Below are 24801 nucleotides of genomic sequence, written 5' to 3'. Positions count from 1 at the left end.
AGTAAATCGTGGGTAGTCATATGATGGAATACTGTAAAGCAACGGAAGGAATGAACTACAGCTACTAGTGATAACATGGGCAACTCTAAAGCCTGATACATGCAGAGTGATTCCATTTATAAAAGGTTCAGAAGCAAAACACACAAAAAACTTAAAATACTCCTTAAGAATTCATACAAAGGTTGTAAAATTTGAAGACAGGCAAGGAAATTATCTTAAAAGGCCAGGGTAGTATTGACTCCAGGGGAGAAAGGGCAATTATGATTGTGGAGGGCCCCTGGGCAGCTCCTGGAATGCTACTTTTTGATTTGAGTGGAATTACATGGGTGTCGGCTTCATTATTAGTCTGTAAAATGTTATTTTGTACTGTGCATTCTTCTGCACGTATGATAGAGATCACAATAATGAACAAAAAAGCAAGGTTCAGTGTCGTGCAGTACGATATGCTCCTGTATTTGGTTTTGGGTGGGTTTTTGTTTGTGCAAAGGAAAAAGCATTCCTTAATATGCACATGGAAAAGTTCTGGGAAGGTACACAATCTATTGGTTTTGCAAACGGGATTGGGCATCTAGGAAGAGAAGGTGAGGTGTACTTTCACATTGTTTAAATTTCTTACCATGTGTCTAATTTATTTTTGTAGTTTTATAGCAAAACTTCACAGCCAAGATTATTTAACTACTCTACTCAATCACTATATTGTCCTGGAGTAAGGGGCATGTTAAGGAGGAAGGAAGAGTGAACACTGACAATTTTCGAGGGTGCATTTCAATCTGCCCACATAGTTTTTTCTTCTACTCCCCACCCCTCCAGTAGCTCAGTTGTGGCTACATACCTTTGATGGGTACATCTGCCTCCCCCTGTCACGAATTACTGAGTGATGGAGTGTGAATCATGTGCATCCCACAGAACTAGGTCAACATAAGAAGTTTTAAAATATTAGCTAGACACTTTACATACTTTGTGCAATAAGGTAACATATAGGAATAATTCAGTCTTCACTCTCCAGTTTCTATTTGTTGATTAAAATAAAAAGAATTTACTTGCTTTGAAATGTAATTTAAAAGAAAAGAATCCCAAATAATGATGCATTTTGTTGCATAAATCTAGAAAAATATGTTTTATTAAAAGCCAGATGAATACTTAAACAGCCTCAGATATCCACCTGAAATGAAACAACTTCTATCAGTTCAATGACATGACTCTTTAAATTTTCAGTAGCAAACTATATTCTGTGAATGTTTTATCCTTAGTGCTGAAATCTAGTTATCTGGTATCATAAAAGGAATGGATTGCTGTATGCCCAGTTCAGAGCCAAATTGTTATTTTTTTCAGTAGTTTTCAGTAGACTCTAGCACTGAGTTTATTAGCACAAAAATAAACATAGTTTGGGGGCTGTTATAATTTTAATTTTATTTAAAAATTTTGCTATGAAGGTTACATGAACAGAAAATTTCGAGCAGTATCTGATTAAAAGTGATATTTTCTATTCATTATGCTGTCTTTGCTTATGTGGATGCCTTGTTTTTGAAGCAGAAACTATTTCAAAAAGAAAAAGTTATTTTGTGTGGGGTGAGTGTATTTGTAGGCCTTGATTTTTATTTACATTGATTCGAAGTTACTTAATAACTCACTAGTGAAACATGCTAATATATTGCCACTCTCTCAATTTGATACATAAGCTCTATGTTGCAGTTATTTTTTATATTTTCTTTTGAAAGAAGATACATTTTTTAAACTTAGAGACTTAAAATCTATAAACAAAACTGTTTTGCTCTGAGAAGTATTTTATTTTCTATAGAAAAATGAATTGATAAGCACATTTGGAGAAAGTATTTCCTGAATTATTGGTATGTCTGGTTTCATTTGAAATCATGTTTCTTGCCACTATTTTTCTTTCTACTTTACAGGTTTGTTTTTCTTCTTTTCGGGAATTACGGCAGCATCTGTTGCTTAAGGAAAAAATTATTTCAAAATCTTACAAAGCTTTAATAAACCTAGTTCAAGGAAAAGATGATAATACGTCAAGTGCAGAGGAGGTAAAAGTAATCATGTGACCATTTTATCATTTTATGAATTGAAAATCTATAAGCTATTGAAAAGTTATTTAAATTGGAATATTAGAATATATTAGAAAATGCTGCTCAGTGGATCAAGAAGAAAAGTAGCAGAGGTTATAATGGTGGACTTTTATGACATTGAAAAATATTTGATTAAGGAGCCAATATTTTATCAATTTATAGGTAATTCTGTAGCATATTAAAATTTCAGTTATCAGGAACCTTGGGGAACAAGTCCTTTTGTTTACAGATTTAACCATTAAACTTTTTTATTTGTATTGTTTGGATAGAAATTACTCATAAGTGAATTATGTATTTACTGACTTAAATAGAATATACTGAGTATTATTTAACTTTGTATTGGTGATGAGATAATTTTATTATTAGGATAATGATTGTTCTTTTAGTCTGTTGGATTGTTTGTTTCTAAGGTTATTTTTTCCTCTAGCAAATGTTCCTACACTGCTATGGGTTTTTTTAGTCCTTCTATCTGCTTTTCATAATTTTACTCTCTTTTTCCTTGTGGCTGATCATCATAAGATCCTCCTCAGGGCCGGGCGTGGTGGCTCATGCCTGTAATCCCAGCACTTTGGGAGGCCGAGACGGGCGGATCACGAGGTCAAGAGATTGAGACAGTCCTGGCCAACATGGTGAGACCCTGTCTCTACTAAAAATACAAAAATTAGCTGGGCATGGTGGCTCGTGCCTGTAATCCCAGCTACTTGGGAGGTTGAGGTAGGAGAATAACTTGAACCTGGGAGGCGGAGGTTGCAGTGAGCTGAGATCGCGCCATTGCACTCCAGCCTGGGTGACAAGAGCGAAACTCCGTCTCAAAAAAAAAAAAAAAGAACCTCCTTGGGTCTCTTATGTGGTAACTTATGTCAGTACATTAATGTAGGAAGTTAGCAAAAACTGCTGAAACTTCATAAAAATAATATTTATGCACATTAATTTCATACAGAGAAAGGCACAGCACAGCAACACTATAGTAAATCAGTAAGAGCTGAACTAATGTTGCATTTTATTCCCTCAAGTCACTGTAGTGCCTAGCTCTGACTTCCTTCTGGATTGACCATTCTTGTCATGGGCTATGCTTTGTGTTTGTATTTCAGTCTTAGCCATGTAAGGGTTTGGGTCCAAAATATGATCTTGTTAATGTAATAAAACGTAACAAAAAAACATTGTGTTGCATTTCTATATTACTGTTCTAATTTCCTGGGAAACCTCATGAAAGTCATTGTTAAAATTGTTTCACCATTTCCTTTCCTCACCTCAATGATTTTGCCAATTTTAGAAAGGGGAAGGGTTGTTTAGAAATTAATATATTGAAACCACTATGTGCAAGGCCCCATTTTTGGCTCTTTACATTGTTAGTTTTAAAAGCAAACCTGGCGGCAGGTAGTAAAAATTTCCCCAGGTTTCAGATGAATAGCCTGCTTCAGAACTCGCAGCTACTGGCAGTAGTGTCAGATTCCTGGGAACATATTTAGTCTCCTATTGAGTGAATGCCTCTATCTTTAGTAATTACCACATGGAGAGGCAGTATAGGGTAATAGTTAAGGAAGAGCATGGGCTCTGGAACGAGTTGGCTTCAGTTCAAATCCCAGCCTTGCTACTTGCTAACTGTGTGACCCTGGGCAAGTTACATAACTTCCCTGTACCTCATTTTTCTAATCTGTAAAATGTAGATGATAATACCACAGACCTAGGGCACTAGGGTTATTGTGTGGGTTAAATGAATTGATACACAAATGGCATTTGGAACAGTGCCTGGCATAAAGTAAACACTCAATAGATGTTGTATATTATTATTATCGTTACTATTATTCTTATTACTACTCTTTCGAATGTTATATATCCACATGTGTGTGGAAATGAATATGGCTTGGACTTTAAGAATAAAATTTTAGCAATAAGCTATAAGTAGTCTAAAGATAGTTTAATCAGTTTTATTCATACAAAAGTTTACAGTTATAGGCTTAGTGCAAGTCACTGATAAAATACAGACTGGATTATTTTCAGTATAACTGGGGTACATATTATCAGACTTTTTTTTTTCAAAATGGACTCCAGGTTTACCTCCCTTTTGGCTCTTTGTTGGATACCCCATCTTGCCATACCCCAGTCATGCCATGCCTCTTGATCTGAATAGATAGGGAATTTTATATATTTTATACATTTCATTTTAGTAAATTGTGTATAATCTATAATATGATATGTTATTTGTTTTTAAATGTTTGGGCCATAAGCCCTAGCCAAAAGCACACTTAACTTTTTTTTTTTTTTAGTTTTGCTACAGACGGTACGTATTTTATAATCAGTTATTTAAACTTTTTTTTTTAGAAGGAATGTCTTGTTCCTCTTTGTGGTGAAGAAGAAAATTCTGTCCATATCTTAGATGAAAAGTTATCAGACAATTTTCAAGATTCAGAACAGCTAGTAGAGAAGATATGGTATCGTGTAATAGATGATAGCTTGGTTGTTGGAGTGAAAACTACATCTTCTTTGAAGCTGTAAGTAAATTCCAACATGATAACACTGTCTTGATGCTCCAGAACAGTACTGTCCAATAGAAATTAATGTAAGCCACGTGCAATTTTAAATGTTCTAGAGGCCATATTTAAAAATGTAAATAGAAGCAAGGGAAATTATTATTACTGTTTTTTTTGAGACAGAGTCTCACTCTGTTGCCCAGGATGGAGTGCAGTGGGATGATCTCGGCTCACTGCAACCTCCACCTCCTGGGATCAAGCAATTCTTATGCCTCAGCATCCCCAGTAGCTGGGATTACAGGCACGCACCATCATGCCCGGCTAGTTTTTGTATTTTTAGTAGACACGGAGTTTTGCCGTGTTGGCCAGGTTGGTCTCAAACTCCTGACCTCAAGTGATCCACCCACCTTGGCCTCCCAAAATGCTGGGACTACAGGCATGAGCCACCATGCCTGGCCATTTTAATGATATGTTTTATTTAACCCAATATATCCAAAACATTATTTTAACATGTAATTAGTATAAAAATTATTAATAAGATATTTTGCATTTATTTTTTCATACAAAGTTTTAAAAATTTGGTGTGTATTTTACATGTATAACACATCACAATTCCAACTAGCCACATTTCTAGTGCTTAATAGCCACATGTATCTAATAGCTACTCTCTTGGCCAGCACAGCTCTAGAAGTATCTCTTTTACACAAATGCATTGAGTTAATAATATGAAGAGGATGAGGTTTATGAAATTAAGATGCTATAGTCTCACGGTGAAGATAATCAAACAGCATACAGAACTTTCTAATCAAAATATTTAGAGGTATTAGGGATACTTAGAGACTATTGACCAAAGTGAATAGGTAAAAATTTCGTTAAATAACAAAGTATCTCTCCCTCTGATAACAGACGATATTCTCTTTTGGGATGTTGAAATCATGGATAGAGAAGTATTGTGCATGCCATCTATATCTGCAGTCTAACAAAGAGCTTTTTAGCCAAAACAGGCTAAATACAGGCATTACAGTAACTACATTGAATTTGAACCACGGGTACGCAGAGAAACCAGGTAGTGCCTTGTAATAGGTGATGGCAGTATATTTGAGCAGCTTAACACAGTAAGGGAGCCAGACTACTTATCTAGTGGGTTTGAGATATGGATTTATTGTTTTGTTTCAGTGAATTTCTAAGCTGTTTTGGGCTGGTTGATCATCTGGGTTTTTCTTCTCTCTTCTTTAATGTGGTACTCTATATTAATCAATTTTGTCTTATAAAATCAGTCTTGCATTCTTGTGATAAACAGTTTGTCACTGGATTTGGTTTGCTATCCTTTGGTCAAGAATATTTGCATCTAAATTCATGAGTGAAATTGGCTTGAAATTTTCTTGAATGATACTTGCCTGATTTTAGTATCAAGGCTATACTAGTTTATAAATGAATTGAGGAATATTTCCTTTTTTCCTGTTCTCTGGAGCAGTTTGTGTAAATTTGGAATTACCTATTGCGGGATCTGGCCAGCAGCCCGCAATGCAACGGGGCTCTCTCTTTGTTCCTAGGCAGATCGGCAGGTTGAGAAATAACACACACACACAAGATAGTGAAAGCTGGGTCCGGGGGGGTCACTGCTTTCTGGTCCCACACTGCCAACAATGCACTGGATATACCAGCATTTATTATTAAGGTTAGTGAGGGCGGGGGTAGGTTAGTGAGGGATTTAGGGTCGTTTGATTATGAGGTGAGATGGTCACGTGGGGATGAAGTAATTCTTTAACATAACATTTGTATGTAGAAGTACAGTACATTTTTGTATGTAGAAGTACAGTATACAGAGATAAGAATTTACAATATAGTGTGTGTGTCAGTAATTTCTAACAGAGCCTTAAAACAGAAACACAATCTTTCGATAACCTATGATTAGCAAGATATTAATCAGCAGTAACAATTGCAACAAAAGCTGGTTACTAACAATCCATGGAAACAGGACGTGAAGCTAGACAACCGGTTAGACCAGAAATTCTCAGAAGGGAGTATGCCTTAACCCTAAAGAGGCCTAGAAGAGCCGTGGCAAGATGAGGGTGTTTATAGCCCTATCTTATCCATATGGACAGGCGCCCCCTGTGCGTCCATTTATAGGCTCTCTACAAGGGTCGCATTCCATTCCCAGAGCTATGAACATCTGCTTTTCTGGGATAGGAATCTTGGTGATGTGAAACCTCCCTGACTGCACGTCCATTCATAGGCTCTCTGGAGGGGGAAGCACATCACGCGCTGTTGGCTCGTTCTGGCAGTCCAACCTGGCATTGTCTTTATGCAATCCTGCATGCAATTTTGTATTTACAATAATCAGGAGCATTTCATCTTTTATTCCATAGCAATAGTTTCAGGGGGTCTCCCTACAATTACCTACTCTTTGATATTTGGTTGTAGTCGCCTGGAATGCAGTAGAAATCTGGCATTTCTTTGTGAGGTGACTTTTAACTACTGATTCAATTTCTTTAATAGTTACAGGATTATTCACATTTTTATTTATTCTTGAATACATTTTGCTTATATTTTTCTATTAATTATTACATTTATTAGCATAAGTTGTTCCTAAGATCCTCTTTAGATATTTATCACTGTGTTGTTAGTGTTTGTCAGTGTCTTTTTATTCCAAATCTTATTTGTGTCTTCTTTTTCCTTGATCTTGCCAGAGTTTCATCCATTTTATTAGATCTTTTCAAATAATTAAATTTTTTGTTGATCTTCAATTGTGTATTCCCTGTTCATTTCTGATCCCTTATTATTTCCTTTTACTTTATTTGGATGTATTCTGTTATTCTTTTTCTAAATATTTGACAATGACATGATTAAGTGCAGATTTCTTTTTTTTTTTTTCCTCCTTTAGATTGTTGAGCTTCCTCAAACTGTTTTGTTTTCTTCTGGCAATTCAAACAATTCTTAGTTCTTAATTCTCAAGATACTGATGCTTCCTTACTTTCTCTAGTATCTGTCTCCTTCTGGAACTTCAGTTAGTCCTCTGTTAGATCTTCTCATTCCATACTCTATGTCTCAACATCTCTTTCATATTTTCTATTCACCTGGATAATTTCTTCTGATCTATATTCTTTTCACTAATTTTATCTTCAGTTCTTTCTAGTCAGCTATTTAATCCAGTCATTGAGTTTCTAAGTTTTATTATTATTTGTATTATCATAAATTTTATTCTTTCTTTTTTAGATCTGCCTGGTAATTTTTTATTCTCTATTTTCTGTCTTTTCTTTTTTTCATATGCTAAATAGAATTACTTAAAAATGTTTTTATATATAGAACATTTGAAACATACAAGGAGAATAGTGTGGTGAACTCTTCTGCCCGTCACTCTGCTCCAGTAATTATCAACTCATTGCTAATCTTGTTTCATCTATACCTCCATGCACTCCTCACCCCCATCCCCCAGATTATTTTGAAGCACTCAAAGGCATTATATTATTTCATCTGTAACAATTCCAGTGTATGTATCTAAAAAATAAGAACTTATATAATTACCCCCCCAAAATTATCAGTAATTCCCCCAGTAAATGGTCAAATTTCCCATTTCTGAATTTAAAAATATTTTTTCAAATCGTGAGCCAGATAAGGACTGTAAATTGGACTTGACTGTTATCTCTAAGTCCTTTGTAATCTGTAGGTATCCTTTTTCTGTCTTTTTTTTTTTTCATGCAAAGTATATTTTATAGAAGCCAGGCAGTTTACCCTGTGAAGTTCTATAGACTGGATTTTGCTGATTACTTCCTGTGATATTGCTTAACATGTTTCTCTGTCTCCTGTATTTCCTCTAAATTGATGGTTAGATCTAGAGACTGGGTCAGAATAATGCCTGAATTTTTGTTAACAGAATACTTAATAGTATTGTTTTCTTCCACTGGGAGGTATGTAAAGTGTGATCAGTTTCATTTTGTGATATTAGCAGCTATTGATGCTCATTACTTAGTTCCATTGTTTCATTAGATTTTATAACATGGTGGTATTCTAATTCTATTACTGCTTCTTTATTTATTAGCTGGAATACTTCTATAAAGAGAAACCTCTTCTCATCAATTATTTAGTTAGACCCTCAAGTATAGTTTGTAATTTAGAAATCAGAATTTGAGTGCAAGAGGTGCTTATTTATCCTCAGTGGGTTGTTGTTTCTGGGCCTTTTTAGTAAGCAGAGGTAGGAAATATGTGTTTTGTTAGTTTGGTCTGTTGTGGTTTTGGTAAGTCCATGCTGATACGTCCAATTCAGATTAAGGACTTCAGGTTTTTACTTATCACCATGATGTAAAAACTTCAAGGTTTTTACTTAACATCATGATGTATCTTCTTTCTGTATCTTCTGTCTCCGCTATTGATAATCCCAATTCTCTGTTGCACCTACTACATAATTACTCTACAGTATATATGTAGTGTTCATAAAACAGCATTCCCAACAAAACAATAGTTCAATTAGTGCAAATTAAGATTTTTGAGTTCTTTTTAAATCTTTAGTGTAACTCATTAGACATATGGTCAAATTCCTGTATTAAAGGAGTTTTCAGTATTAAATTTCTACATTCAAGTTCTTTCTTTGGTCATGTCACCATTCTTACCTGTTTTACTTGATAAACTTTGACAATGCTGGAATGTGCTACAGTAAGCCTGTATATATTTGTAAATTATTATAAATGTAGATATGGAAAGAATTGCTGAGGGATGAACAATATTCTGACTGAAAAAGATTTTATTCAAGTCGTTTAGAGGAACGAAAAATACAATTTTTAGTTTAGAGCTGTTTGCATTCTAACGTATCACCAAAATAAACTCTTAAAAAATAATGAGGAGGTTTTTTCTTGTTTAAAAAGAGGAGAAAAAAAAGACCAACCTGAAAGATAAAATCCTGGCATTATTTTGCCATTCCTTTATCTTAAAAAAATTTTTGTCTTACTTTAATTTCTCTTACTATCATTCCTAATACCATTCCTCTATCTTAAAAATTTTACTTTCCTAAAACCTAGCATAGTTACAGTGTTTTTGCTTGCCTTTTGAGAAGTGCTATCACAGGACCTTTAAAAATGTGTTTGGCTTTTACTCTTAACTTTTTGATATATTTTACATTTGAAATGATGTTTTCTAGGAAAGGAAAGAATAAACATTTTTTACTGTTGTTTGTATGACATTTAATCATCAATTTGATTTTAAAGAATGAGCTTTTAGATTAAACCAAAGTCTGGGTTTTTTACAGGTCCCTGAATGATGTGACTTTATCATTGTTAATGGATCAAGCCCATGACTCCAGATTTCGGCTTCTAAAGTGTCAAAATAGGGTGATTAAGTTGAGTACAAATCCTTTCCCAGCACCATACTTGATGCCATGTGAAATAGGATTGGAAGCAAAAAGGGTCACGTTGACCCCTGATAGCAAGAAAGAGGAAAGCTTTGTTTGTGAACACCCATCTAAGAAAGAGTGTGTACAGATAATTACTGCTGTAACATCTCTTTCACCACTTTTAACATTCAGTAAATTTTGTTGCACTGTACTGCTACAAATTATGGAGAGAGAAAGTGGTAACTGTCCTAAAGATCGTTATGTTGTGTGTGGCAGAGTTTTTTTAAGTCTAGAAGATCTTTCAACTGGGAAGTACCTACTGACATTTCCAAAGAAGAAACCTATAGGTAATTTTGTTGGCACTTTTAGATTATATATTTAATTGAATTAGAAAATTTTAAGAATTCTGTTTATCTGATAATGGGCAGAGTTTAATGATAGAGCTTGTGACTTTTTTTGTAGAGCACATGGAAGATCTTTTTGCACTTCTTGCAGCATTCCATAAATCTTGTTTTCAAATCACATCACCCGGCTATGCCCTGAATTCAATGAAGGTGTGGCTCTTAGAACATATGAAATGTGAAATAATCAAAGAATTTCCAGAAGTGTACTTTTGTGAAAGACCGGGAAGTTTCTATGGGACACTCTTCACTTGGAAACAGAGAACACCATTCGAAGGGATTTTAATAATCTATTCCAGGTAATGCATATTAAATTGTAATTGGTCCAGAGAAGTGAGTGTGTATGAGTGTGATCAATGTGTGGTTCAACAGCGATCCGCATGTGTTTTGTATTATTGCCATGGCAATAATACAGAGCCATGGCCTAGCATGAATGAACGCATCGGCTTCATTTAGAAACTGAAGATCTCTGTTTTAATTTTATATTTGTTTTTGGCTTTTTTTAGTGCCTAGTAATTATTTTGAGATTTCCCGTTACCTCTCCTCCACAGTAAAATTTAAAAAAATATTATATTGACCTTATTACTCAGCAAAAAAAATTTTAATTGGAAACAATCTGATTAATATTAACTGATTCGATATGGAATATGTATATTTGATTGCTGTAGTCTGAATTTTATCAATGCTCACGTACATAATTGGTTCTGTTTATCATTATGGTGTTTATAAATGAATATTAATTGATTACTGCAGTATATTGTACATGACTGCTTTGTGCTGTCCTAATTTTTGTAATATTTTGTTTGTTTTTTTATTTTAGGAATCAAACAGTTATGTTCCAGTGCCTTCATAATCTCATCAGAATTCTCCCTATAAACTGTTTCCTCAAAAATCTAAAATCAGGAAGTGAGAATTTCCTAATTGATAATATGGCATTTACTTTGGAGAAGGAACTAGTCACCCTTAGTTCTCTTTCTTCTGCCATAGCTAAACATGAAAGCAATTTTATGCAGAGGTGTGAAGTGAGCAAAGGAAAGAGTAGTGTCGTCGCGGCTGCTTTATCAGACAGAAGGGAAAATATCCATCCCTACAGAAAAGAACTTCAGAGAGAAAAGAAGAAAATGTTGCAAACGAACCTAAAAGTGAGTGGTGCCCTTTACAGAGAAATAACTTTGAAAGTAGCTGAGGTTCAGTTGAAATCAGACTTTGCTGCACAGAAACTGAGTAATTTATAATTATAATTTCAATTTGATCATATTTTAAAATATGTTTTCACCACCATATAAGATTTTGGTTCTACTTGCTATATGCCTCCTTTGTAAAAATAAACACCGAGGCTTACTGTAGTAGAAACTTTAGTTTTGATGATGCACAAAATAAACAGCAGTGGTTCTCAACTAGGGCCATTTTATCTCCCTCTCCTCTACCCCAAGGGGCATTTGGCTATGTCTGGAGATATTTTTTTTTGGTTGTCAGAAGTTGTGGGGTCAGGAAGGGGTGAGGCAGGGGTGCTATGGGCATCTAGTGGATAGAGGAGACCAGAGATGCTGCTAAACATCCTACTATGCACAAGACAGCCCCCTACAACAAAGAATTATCCAGCCCAAAATGTCAGTAATGCAGAGGTTGAGAAATCCCGTCTTAGAGTTACTTAAGTGAAGACCGAAATGGCATAATAGTATTTTGGTCTAAATCTTTTAAAAACTTCATTTTTTTCTTGCTTTCTGCTTAGTAAAACCTAGCATGTAAAAATCAACTTCAAATAGATAAATTAAGCAAGGTTGTCAGGATCCACAAGTTTCTGTAAATATCAGTATTTCTCCTACAGAAATTTAAATGGCAGATTGTCTGGGCGAGACCATTAAAATGAAAGGTTTTGAAACCCTTGTCAATTTGAATGTTGTTACAAAGCTGCCCTGAAATTATGTAAGTCTATAAGAATGTGAAAATTGTAAGGCATTTTTCAGAAAAGCATCTCTCTTTCAAAAGGCTAAGTATACCTTACAGGCCACTGTTTAAAGAAAAAAAATGAAAACGCTTTTAAGCTATCTGAAATTCCAACTCTAGGCAAAATTAAAATTTAAAATTCTAACTAAAGTAACATAAAGAATATGGCACTCCTTAGGGACTGAGAAATTTAAAAATAAATGAAAATTCACTTCAGTTAAGAAGTGATTTATAAGGGGTCCAGTGAGATACATTTCAAAGGGATAAAAATTCAAGCTAGTCTTTTCTTTGAAAAATAAGAATGCTGGATTAATAAGAGAACGTCAGGAGAAAGAAAAAGACGCAAAAGGATATGGGCCAAAATAAATATTCCTGATCCTTTTTGCTCTAAAATCCTTAAGTGAGATGCAGGTTTCCATCTCAGTTGAGAGAAATAAAGATGATTATAGAATGTGGCATCTCGTGCTTGTGGCTGTGAAGTGCTAATTCTCTCATGCCTTAGAAATGCTTATACCTAATGATCTTGTGATGCACATGGTTTTTAGAGAATATAGGTTATTAGTTTCTTGTCTTGGTTTTTATGATGGTCCATATAATAAGGGACCTCCTTTCCTAGTAATCCATTGCAAATTGAGATAGAACTCTACAGCTCTATCCCTATGAAATGTCAATGGAAAATATTTCAGACTTTCTGCATATGGAAATGGAATAAATTCAGGATTAATCGTAGAAATCTGGAAAGAATATGTGTCATGTGCTATCTGTTGAAACTGCCCATGACATGTTCTGAAAGAACAACCAAATATAAAATACAGGAAGTAAATTGTAAAGTAGAGATGGTGAAAAAACTAAACAGTCATTTTAGTAGAGTTGCTTAGGAAAAAAAAAACTAAACAGGATTTAATTGTAATAGTTTATGTGTAGGGAAGTTAAGATACTAAAAATAGCATATTGCTTATTTTTAAATTACCAATGCAACCAAAAGATACAGATATGCCAAATAACTTACAAGTGAATTTTGTACTCCAGTATTTTTTTTAACTTACTACAAACTAGAAAAGCCGAAGTTGAAGAAATGACACTCTTGCCACTTTCATGATTCAGTTGTGTCTTTGCATCTACAAGCATATGTTATTGACCACTGCCCTGGTCACGACTCTGAGACTCCCCTCAAAAACACAGTCCTCCCAAATCCACTCTGCCAAATTGAAAATGAATTTTGTTTTGGAATGTAGCTAAGGAGATGCATGAAAACACCTTGATCCTGTACTCTTGTTGCAAATTATTTCAAAAACTGTAGACCCTTCAAGAATTCTAATAGTACACAAGTGACTCTCCTATTGTCCTCAGAGCATCTCTTTATACCATGTAGAATTGACTACTCAATTGTTTCTAGTGTTAGAAAGGAAAAGGTGTTATTAACATACATCTCTACCTGCTCTCCCCAGTAGAAACAAAAACTTCAACTCTCTTGGCTAGAAACCTGTGTAAAACTTTGCTTTCTTTTTCCTTTCTTTCTTTTTCCTTTTTGCCTAAAACTTGGACAATATCAGAAATTGAGAGGATTCCATTTTCTTCCTTGTCTTCTAAATTACAAAGATGTTACTTTCCATTCTAAGAATTTGGGAGTGAAAGATCTTTCATGTGTAAGCCATCTGAAGAATTTTAGGCTTCTGCTAAAGACAGTGTGGTGCAATGGAAAGAATACTGATACATAAACACTATTCTTAATTCTTCAAGGGTTTGTTGTTTTCCATTTTTGGACTTTCTATATTGGTTACTTGCATTGCTTTACTGCCTCAACAAAATAGCCCTGTCCTGTAAGATCCTACTATGATGAATATCTTTGCAATGCTAATGGTCTGGTCACTTTCTAGGGCCTTATTTCAATGATCCTGCCTTGCCTTTTTATTCAGTAGGGTGTCACACTATTCAGGTCCTGAACTTTAGTAAGGGCAGTAAATTAGACACCTACCATGCTTTGACTATTCAGATTTTTTGCTTTGCTACACCTGTGAGCAACTATGCTGGACAACCGTACCTGTGTGCATAACTCTGGCTCATAATGGCCTTAGGTTCAGCTAGAAAGTTTCTGTAGCATCCTTAACTTAAATTATTCATTTCCCCACAGCAGCAGCCACTTACCACTAAATGTACAAGCAGTGCTATGGTCAGTAAAGCATGCTATTAGTAATCAGTCAAAATATTTAACACTAGATAGCAGGTCAGTCAGGAGTGAGAAAGAAGTGCAGTCTATTGATTACCTTTTCCACATCTATTTCACTTTTTTTCTTACTGAAACTCTCGTTTTGTCCAGGGAACTTCCTTTCCCATAGTTCATGTGATTGGGGAGGTGAATCTCATCCCTAGTTCCAGAGGTTAATCCTGACTAATCTAAGCCAGTTAGTGCAAGACCTTTCCCTGGCAGCTGTTATTGGTCTGGGGTGGACACAAGACCTAAATTGGGTCTAATCAGACTGAGGGGAAGGGCTTGGTTCTTTGGTGAGGAAAAGACTGTCAGGCTGGAAGTAGGTGGCCCTTATTTAAAAAGTTGAGAGTTACCTTATAATCACAAGGCAATCAAGCCTTAGAATGAAATTGACACAGTGGAATGCAAATTTTTTATTGTTGTACCTCAGAATCAAATCTAAATCTCACCCTTTTCCTGGACTGCCAATTACTAAAAAAAAAATTCCTTGGCCGGGAGCAGTGGCTCACGCCTGTAATCCCAGCACTCTGGGGGAGGCTGAGGTGGGCCGATCACCTGAGGTCAGGAGTTCGAGACCAGCCTGGCCAACATGGTGAAACCTTGTCTGTACTAAAAATTAAAAATTAGCCAGGTGTGGTGGCACATGCCTGTAGTCCCAGCTACTTGGGAGGCTAAGGCAGGAGAATCGCTTGAACCCTGGAGGCGGCGGTTGCAGTGAGCCGAGATCGCGCCACTGCACTGCACTCCAGCCTGGGTGACAGAGTGAGACTCTGTCTCAAAAAAAAAAAAAATCCCTTGTAACAGAACTCAAGGTTTCCATTACTTGTAGTTAAAATTGTTTCTAACTGTTAAAAATGGGAAAAAGAATGCCAGAGAATAAAGCAAGGGGAATCCCAGGATAGAAACAGTTTATTACAAAACAGGATGCTTTTACCTTTAAAAGAGTAGTAAAGAACCATCCACTCACCACCCCCATATGCCCCTTTTATTTCTGGGCAGTGGCTTGCTTTTTTTCCTTTTTGAGTTTATAATTCAATTTATTATACACTTGATAGTAGTATATACCTGAAAATAGATGCTTTAATTATTTTTTTATCTTCTTTTCTTTATTCCTTAGCTTCTCTCTGGTATTACATGAGGCCAGTTGATTTATTATGCCATCCTCATTGGGTAGAGGGATATGTCAGATTATTTAACTTGTTTCTCAATATTTCATATTTTAGAATATAAAATTATAAATGTAAGGGCCATATCTGTCTAGTGTGTTTCTTAGATATCTGAATTCAGACTTTCAGTTCTCATTTCTTTCTTTCTTTCCGTTTTTTTTGTTGTTGTTGTTGTTGTTTTTGTTTTTGAGACAGGGTCTTATTCTCTTGCCCAGGCTAGAGTGCAGTGGCGTGATCTCAGCTCTGCAGCCTCCGCTTTCTGGGTTCAAGTGATTCTCCTGCCTTAGCTTCCCAAGTAGCCGGGACTACAGGTGCATGTCACTATGGCCGCCTAAGTTTTGTATTTTTAGTAGAGATGGGGTTTCACCATGTTGGCCAGGCTCATCTTGAACTCCTGACCTCAGGTGATCCGCCCTCCTCGACCTCCTCCCAAAGTGCTGGGATTACAGGCATGAGCCACTGTGCCCAGCCTCAGTTCTCATTTCTCCTGACAGCCATTCTCATATTCTCAGCTATATCCTCTCCAGTAGGAAGAGAAGGAAATCTTTATCAATTTATATTGTTCTAGGAATCTTTCTGCTAGAAACAACTGATTTAATGTCATGGGACTGTTTAGGAAATACAATAGTATTGCTATATAAAAAGAGATGCACGTTATTATTAATTAGAGCTTATAACCTTTCCAATGATAACATATGTACTAAAACATGAGTGGTTGCCTTTTAGTATATACTAGGAATCAAAAGACAAACTTTCTAACTTCATTCTAACCTCATTAAAAAACAAGGTGATGATAATTTTAGTAGGTTTTTTTGTAAGCCTGATGAGATGTTTTAAGATTTAGAATGACTCAATTTGGTTATGTCAAGTACAATAATCAAATCATCTTACAAATTATCCCAATAGGAAATCAATATGCTTTAATACTTGAAAGATTCTGGTAAAAGTAGTAAAAACATTGGGGGTGTGATGGGGGTCAGGGGTGATGGTGGTGGTAGAATCTGAAGGAGACCAGGACCAAATGTGTTCTTAATAGTCTGCAAAATCTTAAGAAAAACTCAACATGCAGCACATGTGTTATGCCCAGGAATGGTGGATAGGGCTTGGTGTGTAGGCTAGTCAGGTGTTTCCTGAAGCCAGTGCCAGCTGGAAGGGGAATTAGCCAGTAAATATAAATAGTAGGAAAAAGAATTATCCACAAGATTTAGGAAAAGTGTTAAAATTATAGCCCACACTTGCATACCAATTTTCTATGGCATGGTGGATAATATAAATAGTGAATATTTATTGATTATTGTGTGCCAGACACTGATCTGAATGTGTAGCCCATGTGATCCTTACAACCCTATAAAACTGTGCTTCCCAGGATAGTAGCTATGAGTCATATAGGACTATTTATGTTTAAATCAATTAAAATAGAATAAGGTTATACATTCAGTTCCTTAGTTGATCCTAGTCACATTTAAGCTGTTCAGTCACATAAGGCTAGTGGCTACCATTTGATCACTGCAGAGAACATTTCCAAAATCACAGAAAGTTATATTAGGCAATGATGTTATAAGATGTATACTATTAACTAACTCTGTTTATCGATAAAGAAACTGAGACTGAGACAGGTTAAATAATATATCCAAAGTCACATAGCTGGTAAGGGGTAAGGAACAGAGCCAGGATTCTAATCATCCAGTCCAGCTACAGAACCTTTGCTCTTTCACCACTATGCTATTCTGTGTATAAAGTCAGTTTGTAATAAAACACTATCATGTCTTGACAGTTTTATATTACCAAAATGCATTTATTGTTGAAAAGGAAAAGTTGCACATAATACACAATTCTATAAAAGTATAAATCTGTTAATATAATTGAATTGTCAGGGAGAATGTGGGCCACATCATCCTAAATCCTGTAATGAGCAAGTTATTAGAGTTGGTTGATGGCCCCAGCTGAGTTTTATCTCTTGACTACTTCCCTCCAATTATGTCTAAATACCTGTGTGCCTGTTCCCTATTTCCTCTCAGTTTTCTTTGTTAGAACCACCAGTCTCCAGAATTATTGCATTACCATTGCTGGTTCATGTTTTAGGGACTTTTAAAATGAAAGTGTCAGTTCTCTAAATAGCCCTTTATGTAGTTTCTCTTTGAAACATGTCTAGGCCCTGAGAATCTCTGAAGTGTTTGTCAGTGGCTGGTGATCGCTGCAGTTGAGGGCTTGGGATTCCAGGGAAAGGTGCAAGGTGTCTAGCCAGGAAAACTTACATCTTTATTCGCTATGAGTACTACAGCACTTGAGAAGAAAAGGAGGTAGAATTCTGTTTTCTATTTGTACCTTTTGCCTGATCTAATCATTCCAAATGATATGCCTATAGAAAACATTTCACCTCTTGCAAATTATCAATAGTGTACAAAGTAGAAGGGAATATAGAGATCTTTTATTCAATCATGTGTCTATAGAGGTTTCATTGAACACATTCTCATGCACATCTAGGTGCCAGATAAATTTAAGACTCTTGTTGGTTTTCAGAAAGCTTGCAGTCTTAATGGAAGAGACAGTGGCAGAGAGTTGTAGGTGACATTGAGGTAATTAATACAAAGTTTTACTGAAGTTCCATGGGAACACCCTTATAGGGCACTATACCCAGTAGGGATATCCTCTGAGAGCAGTTCTTAATTTTGGATAAGAGGACTCTTTGGGGTTCTGACAAAAGCTAAGGATTTCATGTTGGGGGCGGTTGTAAGATTAAAGTGGTATTTTAATATAATGGTGTTTTACCTCATCATTCAGAGAGAATCTCAGAGAAAAATGTCTACACAGAGAAAAAAGTTCAAACCAAAGCACTTTGAATAGCAAAAAGGGGTCTAAAATATTTAAATCATGATTTTGAAGTATTTCTTGGTTGAAAAATTGGTTTATTTTATTGCGGAACTGTAAAATAATTATCTTTAAAGCTTTTTAGAAATAAGATTTGTTGTAAAAATTTAAATAACATATGCATGTACATTAAAGCAAATAGCTTTTAAAAATCGATTACCTCAATTATTTTGCCCTATTTATTTGTTGTAGTTGAAAAAACATTACATTTATCATCCTAACAATTTTTAAGCATATAGTTCAATAGTGTTAAATATATTCATGTTGTTGTATAGCAGATCTCTAGAACTTTTTCATCTTGCAAAACTGAAACTCTATACCCATTGAGCGTTAATTTCCTCTCTCTCTTCCACCAGCTCTTGGCAACCACCTTTCTACTTTCTATGATTTTGACTACTTTAGATACTTCATGTGAGTGGAATCATAGAGTATTTATATTTTTGTACCTGGCTTATTTTACTTAGCATAATGTCCTTGAGGTTCATTCGTGTCATAGCTTGTGACACTATTTCCTTCTGTTTAAAGCTGCATAGTATTCCATTGTATACATATATCACATTTTGTTTATCTGTCCATCTGTTAGACATCTAGGTTGCTTCCACTTCTTGGCTGTTGTGAATAATACTGCAATAAACGTGGGTGTGCAAATAATTGTTTGAGATCCTATTTTCAGTTCTTTTGGATATATACACAGAAGTGAGATTGCTAGATCATATGGTAATTTTATTTTCAATTTTTTGAGAAACCTCTGTACTATTTTTAATAATAACTGCACTATTTTACATTCCCACCAACAGTGTACAAGGATTCCAATTTCTCTGCATCCTTCCTAACACTTGTTATTTTCTGTTCTTTTGATAGTGGCCATCCTAACGGGTGTGAGGTAATGAATTATTTTGCCTTTGAGAGACCCTGGGCAGCCTTTTGAGTTTCCAGTTCAGTCACTTTTTTTTCTCTACATCAGTGGTTCTCAAAGTGTGGTCCTGGAGGAACAGCATCAGTAACATCTGAGAATTTATTAGAAATGCTAATTCTTGGGCCCTACCCGAAACCTGCTAAATCAGAAATTGAGAGTTGGGCATGGTAATCTGTATCTTAACAAGCCCTCTAGGTTATTCTGATACACACTCAAGTTTGAGAACTGCTGCTCTACACTAATAATTCTCAGCCACAGTTGTATATAAGAATCACCCGCCCAGGTGTGATTCTGTCCTGCGCGGCTCTTCTCTTGAGCTGGGGTCGTTTATCTCTGTCCACCTTCTCTCCCACCTAAGTGCATGTAGCCACCTGATGGAAGATTCGATGGACATGGACATGAGCCCCCTGAGGCCCCAGAACTAACTTTTCGGTTGTGAACTAAAGGCCAATAAAGATGATCACTTTAAGGTGGATAATGATGAAAATGAGACCAGTTATCTTTAAGAACGGTCTGTTTAGGGACTGGTGCAAAGGATGAACTGCACATTGTTGAAGAAGAGGCAATGAATTACAAAGGCAGTCCAATTAAAGTTAACACTGGCAACTTTGAAAATGTCTGTACAGCCAAAGCTTTCCCTTGGGGGCTTTGAAATAACACCACCAGCGCTCTTACAGTTGAAGTGTGATTCAGGGCCAGTGCATATTAGTGGACAGCACTTAGTAGCTGTGGAGGAAGATGCAGAGTCAGAAGATGAAGAGGAGGAGAATGTGAAACTCTTAAGTATATCTGGAAAGCAGTTGGTCCCTGGAAGTGGTAGCAAGTTTCCACAGAAAAAGGTAAAACTTGTTGCTGATGAAGATGATGATGATGATGATGATTTTGATGATGAGGAAACTGAAGAAAAAGCACCAGTGAAGAAATCTATACAAGATACTACAGCCAAAAATGCACACAAGTCAAATCAGAATGGAAAAGACTCAAAACCATCATCAACACCAAGATAAAAAGGACAAGAATCCTTCAAAAAACAGGAAAAAACTCCTAAAACACCAAAGGGACCTAGTTCTGTAGAAGACGTTAAAGCAAAAATGCAAGCAAGCATAGAAAAAGGTGGTTCTCTTCCCAAAGGGAAGCCAAGTTCATCAGTTATGTGAAGAATTGCTTCTGGGTGACTGACCAGGAGGCTATTCAAGATCTCTGGCAGTGGAGGAAGTCTCTTTAAGAAAATAGTTTAAACAATTTATTAAAAATTTTCCATCTTATTTCATTTCCATAACAGTTGATATCTGGCTGTCCTTTTTATAATGCAGAGTGAGAACTTTCCCTTCCGTGTTTGATAAATGTTGTCCAGGTTCCATTGTGAAGAATGTGTTGTCCAACATGTCTGTTTAGTTTTTAAAGATGGAACTCCACCCTTTCTTGTTTTAAGTATGTATGGAATGTTATGATATGACATAGTAGTAGCGGTGGTCAGACATGGAAATGGTGGGGAGACAGAAATATACATGTGAAATAAAACTCAGTATTTTAATTAAAAAAAAAATCACCCAAGGGCTTCTTAAAATGTTTTTCTGATCTTATGCCCCACCTCAAAGAAAGATCTTGATCCATGTGGTTTAGGGGGGTTTTGCCTTGAGCCTTGGCATCAGTTTAAAAGCTCCCCAGGTGATTTTTTTGTTGTCGTTTTTGTTTTTGTTTGAGACAGGGTCTCACTCTGTTTCCCAGGCTGGAGTGCACTGGCACAATCTCAGCTCACTGCAGCCTCTACCTCCCAGGCACAAGTGATCCTCCCACCTCAGCACCCCTGAGTAGCTGGAACCACATGTGCCCACCACCACACCCAGCTAATTTTTGTGTGTACATATATAAATAGTGGTTTTTATTTTTATTTTTTTTTAAGAGACGAGGTTTCACCATGCTGCCCAGGCTGGTCTGGAACTCCTGGGCTCAGGCGATGCGCCCACTTTGGCCTCCCAAAGTTGGGATTTTAGCTGAGATTGCAGGTGTGAACCCCCCCCACACCCAGCCTCCCCAGGTGATTCTAATGTACAGCCAGGGTTAAGAGCCACTGCTGTACAATCAGCTTGACCATTTCAGGGCGCAGGGCTTCACAGATTTTTCATTTTTAGTAGCATCATTGTCTTAACAATGTAGTAAGCTAGTGCTTCTCAAACTTTAACATACATACTATCACCTGGAGATCTTGTTGAACTCTACTTTGTGATTCCGTAAGTCTAGGGTGGTGCCTGAGACTGCATTTCTAACAAGCTCTCAGTCGATGCAGATTCTGCTGGTTCATGGGCCACACTTTGAGACTCAAGGTAATAAGTAACCCTCTTCAAAGTCAGGGCTTTTGTTTTGGGGAAAATTCAAGTATTCAAATAGAGCTTTGTTGTCATTCCAAAAAGTCCTCACCATCCGATGTGTTCTTTCAATGGATAAATACAAGGTAATCCATCTTTGCTGGTGTTGTGCTTTCATTGATAGAAATTTTGTACAAAAGTATTTCCCTGCATCATCTGTGTTCCAGCATCTTTGGTGATGAAAGGAAAATGAAAAGATACATGAACTTAATCTTTTTCTTTTTTTACATTTTACCATTTAGGTTATTGTTCATGCCTTATGTAAATAATCATTGTGGAAGGAAGGATATGTTTTCTTTAATTCCTAAATGAGAAATTACTCTGAACGCAGAAGCAATGGGAAGATGATGATTGTACAATGCCTAATATCCTTTATTCATTAAGACTTACACTAAAAGAAAACCCAACTCAAAACAAATTTACACATGAAAGACATATAATGGTTGTTGTAACCAGTGGAAAGCATTCAAGCTTGAGTCAGTTTGATTCAGCAGCTTAGCAGGATATTAAGGAGATTGTCAGCTTCCTCCTAAAGTTGGCCCCCCACATGTTATGGAAGGGCTGAAACACTTCCAAGATACACATCTGCACACCACTCCATCCAGAAGAGAGCTTTATGGAAGAGTGAGGAACCTTCTTTTCCAAAGGAAAATCTTCCCTCATGTCTTACTGCCCCACATTCATTCACACATTCAATCCTGAACTAATATCTATGGCCAGTTGAATACCCTGTATTAATTGGCTTAGGCGTGAAGATAGAGAGGGAGACTTCACATTTTACTGTTTGCTACTACTACAGTTTTTTGTGTAGGCATTTATTTATGGGTTGAATTATGTCCCCCCAAAAAGATATGCTGAGGTTCTAACTCCTGGTACTTCAGAATGTGGCCTTGTTTAGAAATAGGGTTGTTGCAGATGTGGTTGAGATGAGGTCATACTGGAGTAGGGTGGGCTGCATTCCAGTGACTCACGGTGTCCTTTTAAGAAGATGGCCACGTTAATACAGAGACACAGGGAAAATGCTCATGACAAGGCAGGGGCTGGAGTTATGTAGCTGCAAGCCAAATATTGCCTGCAAATCACCAGAAGGTAGGAAGAGGTAAGAAAGGTTTCAGAGGGAGCCTGGCTCTGCCAACACCTTGATTTCAGACTTTTAGCCTCCAGAACTGAGGAACAATAAATTTCTGTTGTTTTAAGCCACCCAGTTTTTGGTATTTTATTACAGTAGCCCTAGGAAACTAGTACAACATTCATTACTTTTAGAAATTAGAAAATCAAGTGTATGTTGGAAGAAGGAGGGTAGGTCATTCTAAAGGCAACAAAAAATGAAACACCATGATGTTTCCAGGGGACTGTAAACATGATTGTTAGTGGTCAGTCTGTTCTCCTAAATATCTTTTAATTTTTTTTGAGTTTTCCTCATCTTCGTTGCTACTCCCTATTTCATGCTACCATTATTTCTAACCTGGACTATTTCAGCAGCTTCCCAACTTGTCTCCTTGTTTTTACTCTTGCTTCCTTCCGGTTTTGTTCTACAGACTGCTGCCACAGTTGTCTTGTCAAAGCACAAGTCTGATCATCCACTGCTGAAAAACTATTCATCATCTTTCCACTGTTTCAGTGTTCATTCAATGACTTCCCATTACTTTTAGAATGAAGATCAAATTCCCTATGTGGCAAGCAAGGTATGGTGTCATCTAGCCTACCTCATGAGTCTAGCTAAGATTCCGTTCCCCATCTCTGTGGGCTGTAGTCTCTGACATCCTTTCAGTTCAAGCACCAGCGATTTGCCTCCTACCTCAAACTCTGGACAGGCAGTTTCCATTGCTTATACTGCTTTCTCTTCAATCCTACTTTCCCATTCACCTAGTTTTATACCCATTCATTTCTCACCTCTCAGCTCTTGATTCATTTCTTTGCAGTGTTCACAGGTATAATTTAATAGCTAATAATAATTATAGACAGGTCATATAGTTAACACCAATTTGAAATCATGGCTTGTTGACTCCAAAAGGTAAAACCCCTAGTACTCTAACTTCCTTTTAGGCGGAGCCCATTTTCTGTCTTGATCATCTTTGTATCCCATCTAACATAATGCTTTGCACATAGTGGGTGGTAAACTAATATTAGTGTAATTTTTTCAAGAAAACATGAATGAATGAAATGTATTACAGTTTTAAGAAAGTAAGGGGCTAGTCTTTGTGTCAGAGATGAGGGTCCATTAAGGAGCTTGTACTTCATTCTGCAGTCAGTGGTTCCCAGAATTTTTGATCACATTGGCAAGTGTCATTTTAAACACTGTGGAGACTAACATAAAGTTCACAACCTTTTTGTTTTGCCAGGTCAGGACATTAAAAAATGTTACCCCTGCCACCATGATTTCATAAAACAAAGAATATAGTGATACTAAATGTGTAATCATAGAATACAGATAATTTAAAGTGAATACATTTGGTTTCATGGAAAAATCACATTGTCTTTATTTTTCTCAGTCTCATTGTGCAACACACTAGTGGAAAGGTATGGATGGGCATCCATCAGCGGATAAATATTTAGGCACCGCACATGGGGAATCTTGAAGGAATTTATGTCGGCACGTGGCATGGTCAGCTTTTTTACATAGGTGACCATGTCAGCTGTTTGGAGGCAGGACAGTAAGAGGCAAAGTAGATTCTGGAATGAGGGTATTGCTAGAGTGGTCTAGATGTGAGGTGATGAAGTATTGATTTAAATTTGCAAAGGTAAGGATGAAGTGTATTGCAGAGATATTTAGGATATATTGTCAGTTGGACTTAGTTTTTCTTTTATTAATGGTTCTTAAAGGGTGGGGAACCAGAATCACTGGAGCTAAATATGTGTGTATGTACATGTACACAAAGACATGTATATAACTGGCATACCTTGTTTTTTTGTGCTTCACATATATTACATTTTTTACAAATTGAAAGCTCCACAACCCTGCATCAGACAAGTCTACCAGCACCATTTTTCTGACATAAGGTGCTCATGTTGTGTCTCTGTGTCATATTTTGGTAATTCCTGCAATATTTCAAACT

General features: G+C 36.4%; 1 protein-coding gene and 1 pseudogene across 14 annotated transcripts in view; both read left to right on the top strand.

Annotated features, from left to right (window-relative positions):
• FANCB (FA complementation group B) overlaps nucleotides 1-24801 on the top strand; it is a 183546-nt gene that overhangs the window by 17995 nt on the left and 140750 nt on the right. For 5 of the 14 annotated variants that reach the window (XR_007068184.1, XR_001755674.2, XR_001755672.2 and 2 more), the window contains 5 exons: nucleotides 1908-2036; nucleotides 4401-4570; nucleotides 9789-10219; nucleotides 10335-10572; nucleotides 11094-11415. Coding sequence is in view for 10 of the 14 variants with exons in the window: in NM_001410764.1 (NP_001397693.1) it covers nucleotides 1908-2036; nucleotides 4401-4570; nucleotides 9789-10219; nucleotides 10335-10572; nucleotides 11094-11415 (1290 nt within the window). In the remaining 4 variants the exon portion in view is untranslated. Of the gene's footprint in view, nucleotides 1-1907; nucleotides 2037-4400; nucleotides 4571-9788; nucleotides 10220-10334; nucleotides 10573-11093; nucleotides 11671-19324; nucleotides 21842-24801 lie in introns of those variants that run through there. The other 9 variants (NM_001324162.2, NM_152633.4, NM_001018113.3 and 6 more) reach the window with 2 other exon arrangements.
• Nucleotides 19738-20917, top strand: NPM1P9 (nucleophosmin 1 pseudogene 9; annotated as a pseudogene).

Source organism: Homo sapiens, chromosome X, assembly GCF_000001405.40.
Source record: "Homo sapiens chromosome X, GRCh38.p14 Primary Assembly".
In the NCBI taxonomy this organism is placed as follows: domain Eukaryota; kingdom Metazoa; phylum Chordata; class Mammalia; order Primates; family Hominidae; genus Homo; species Homo sapiens.
The sequence above is the reverse complement of the archived record's forward strand: the minus strand, read 5'-3'. Positions and strand labels throughout refer to the sequence as shown.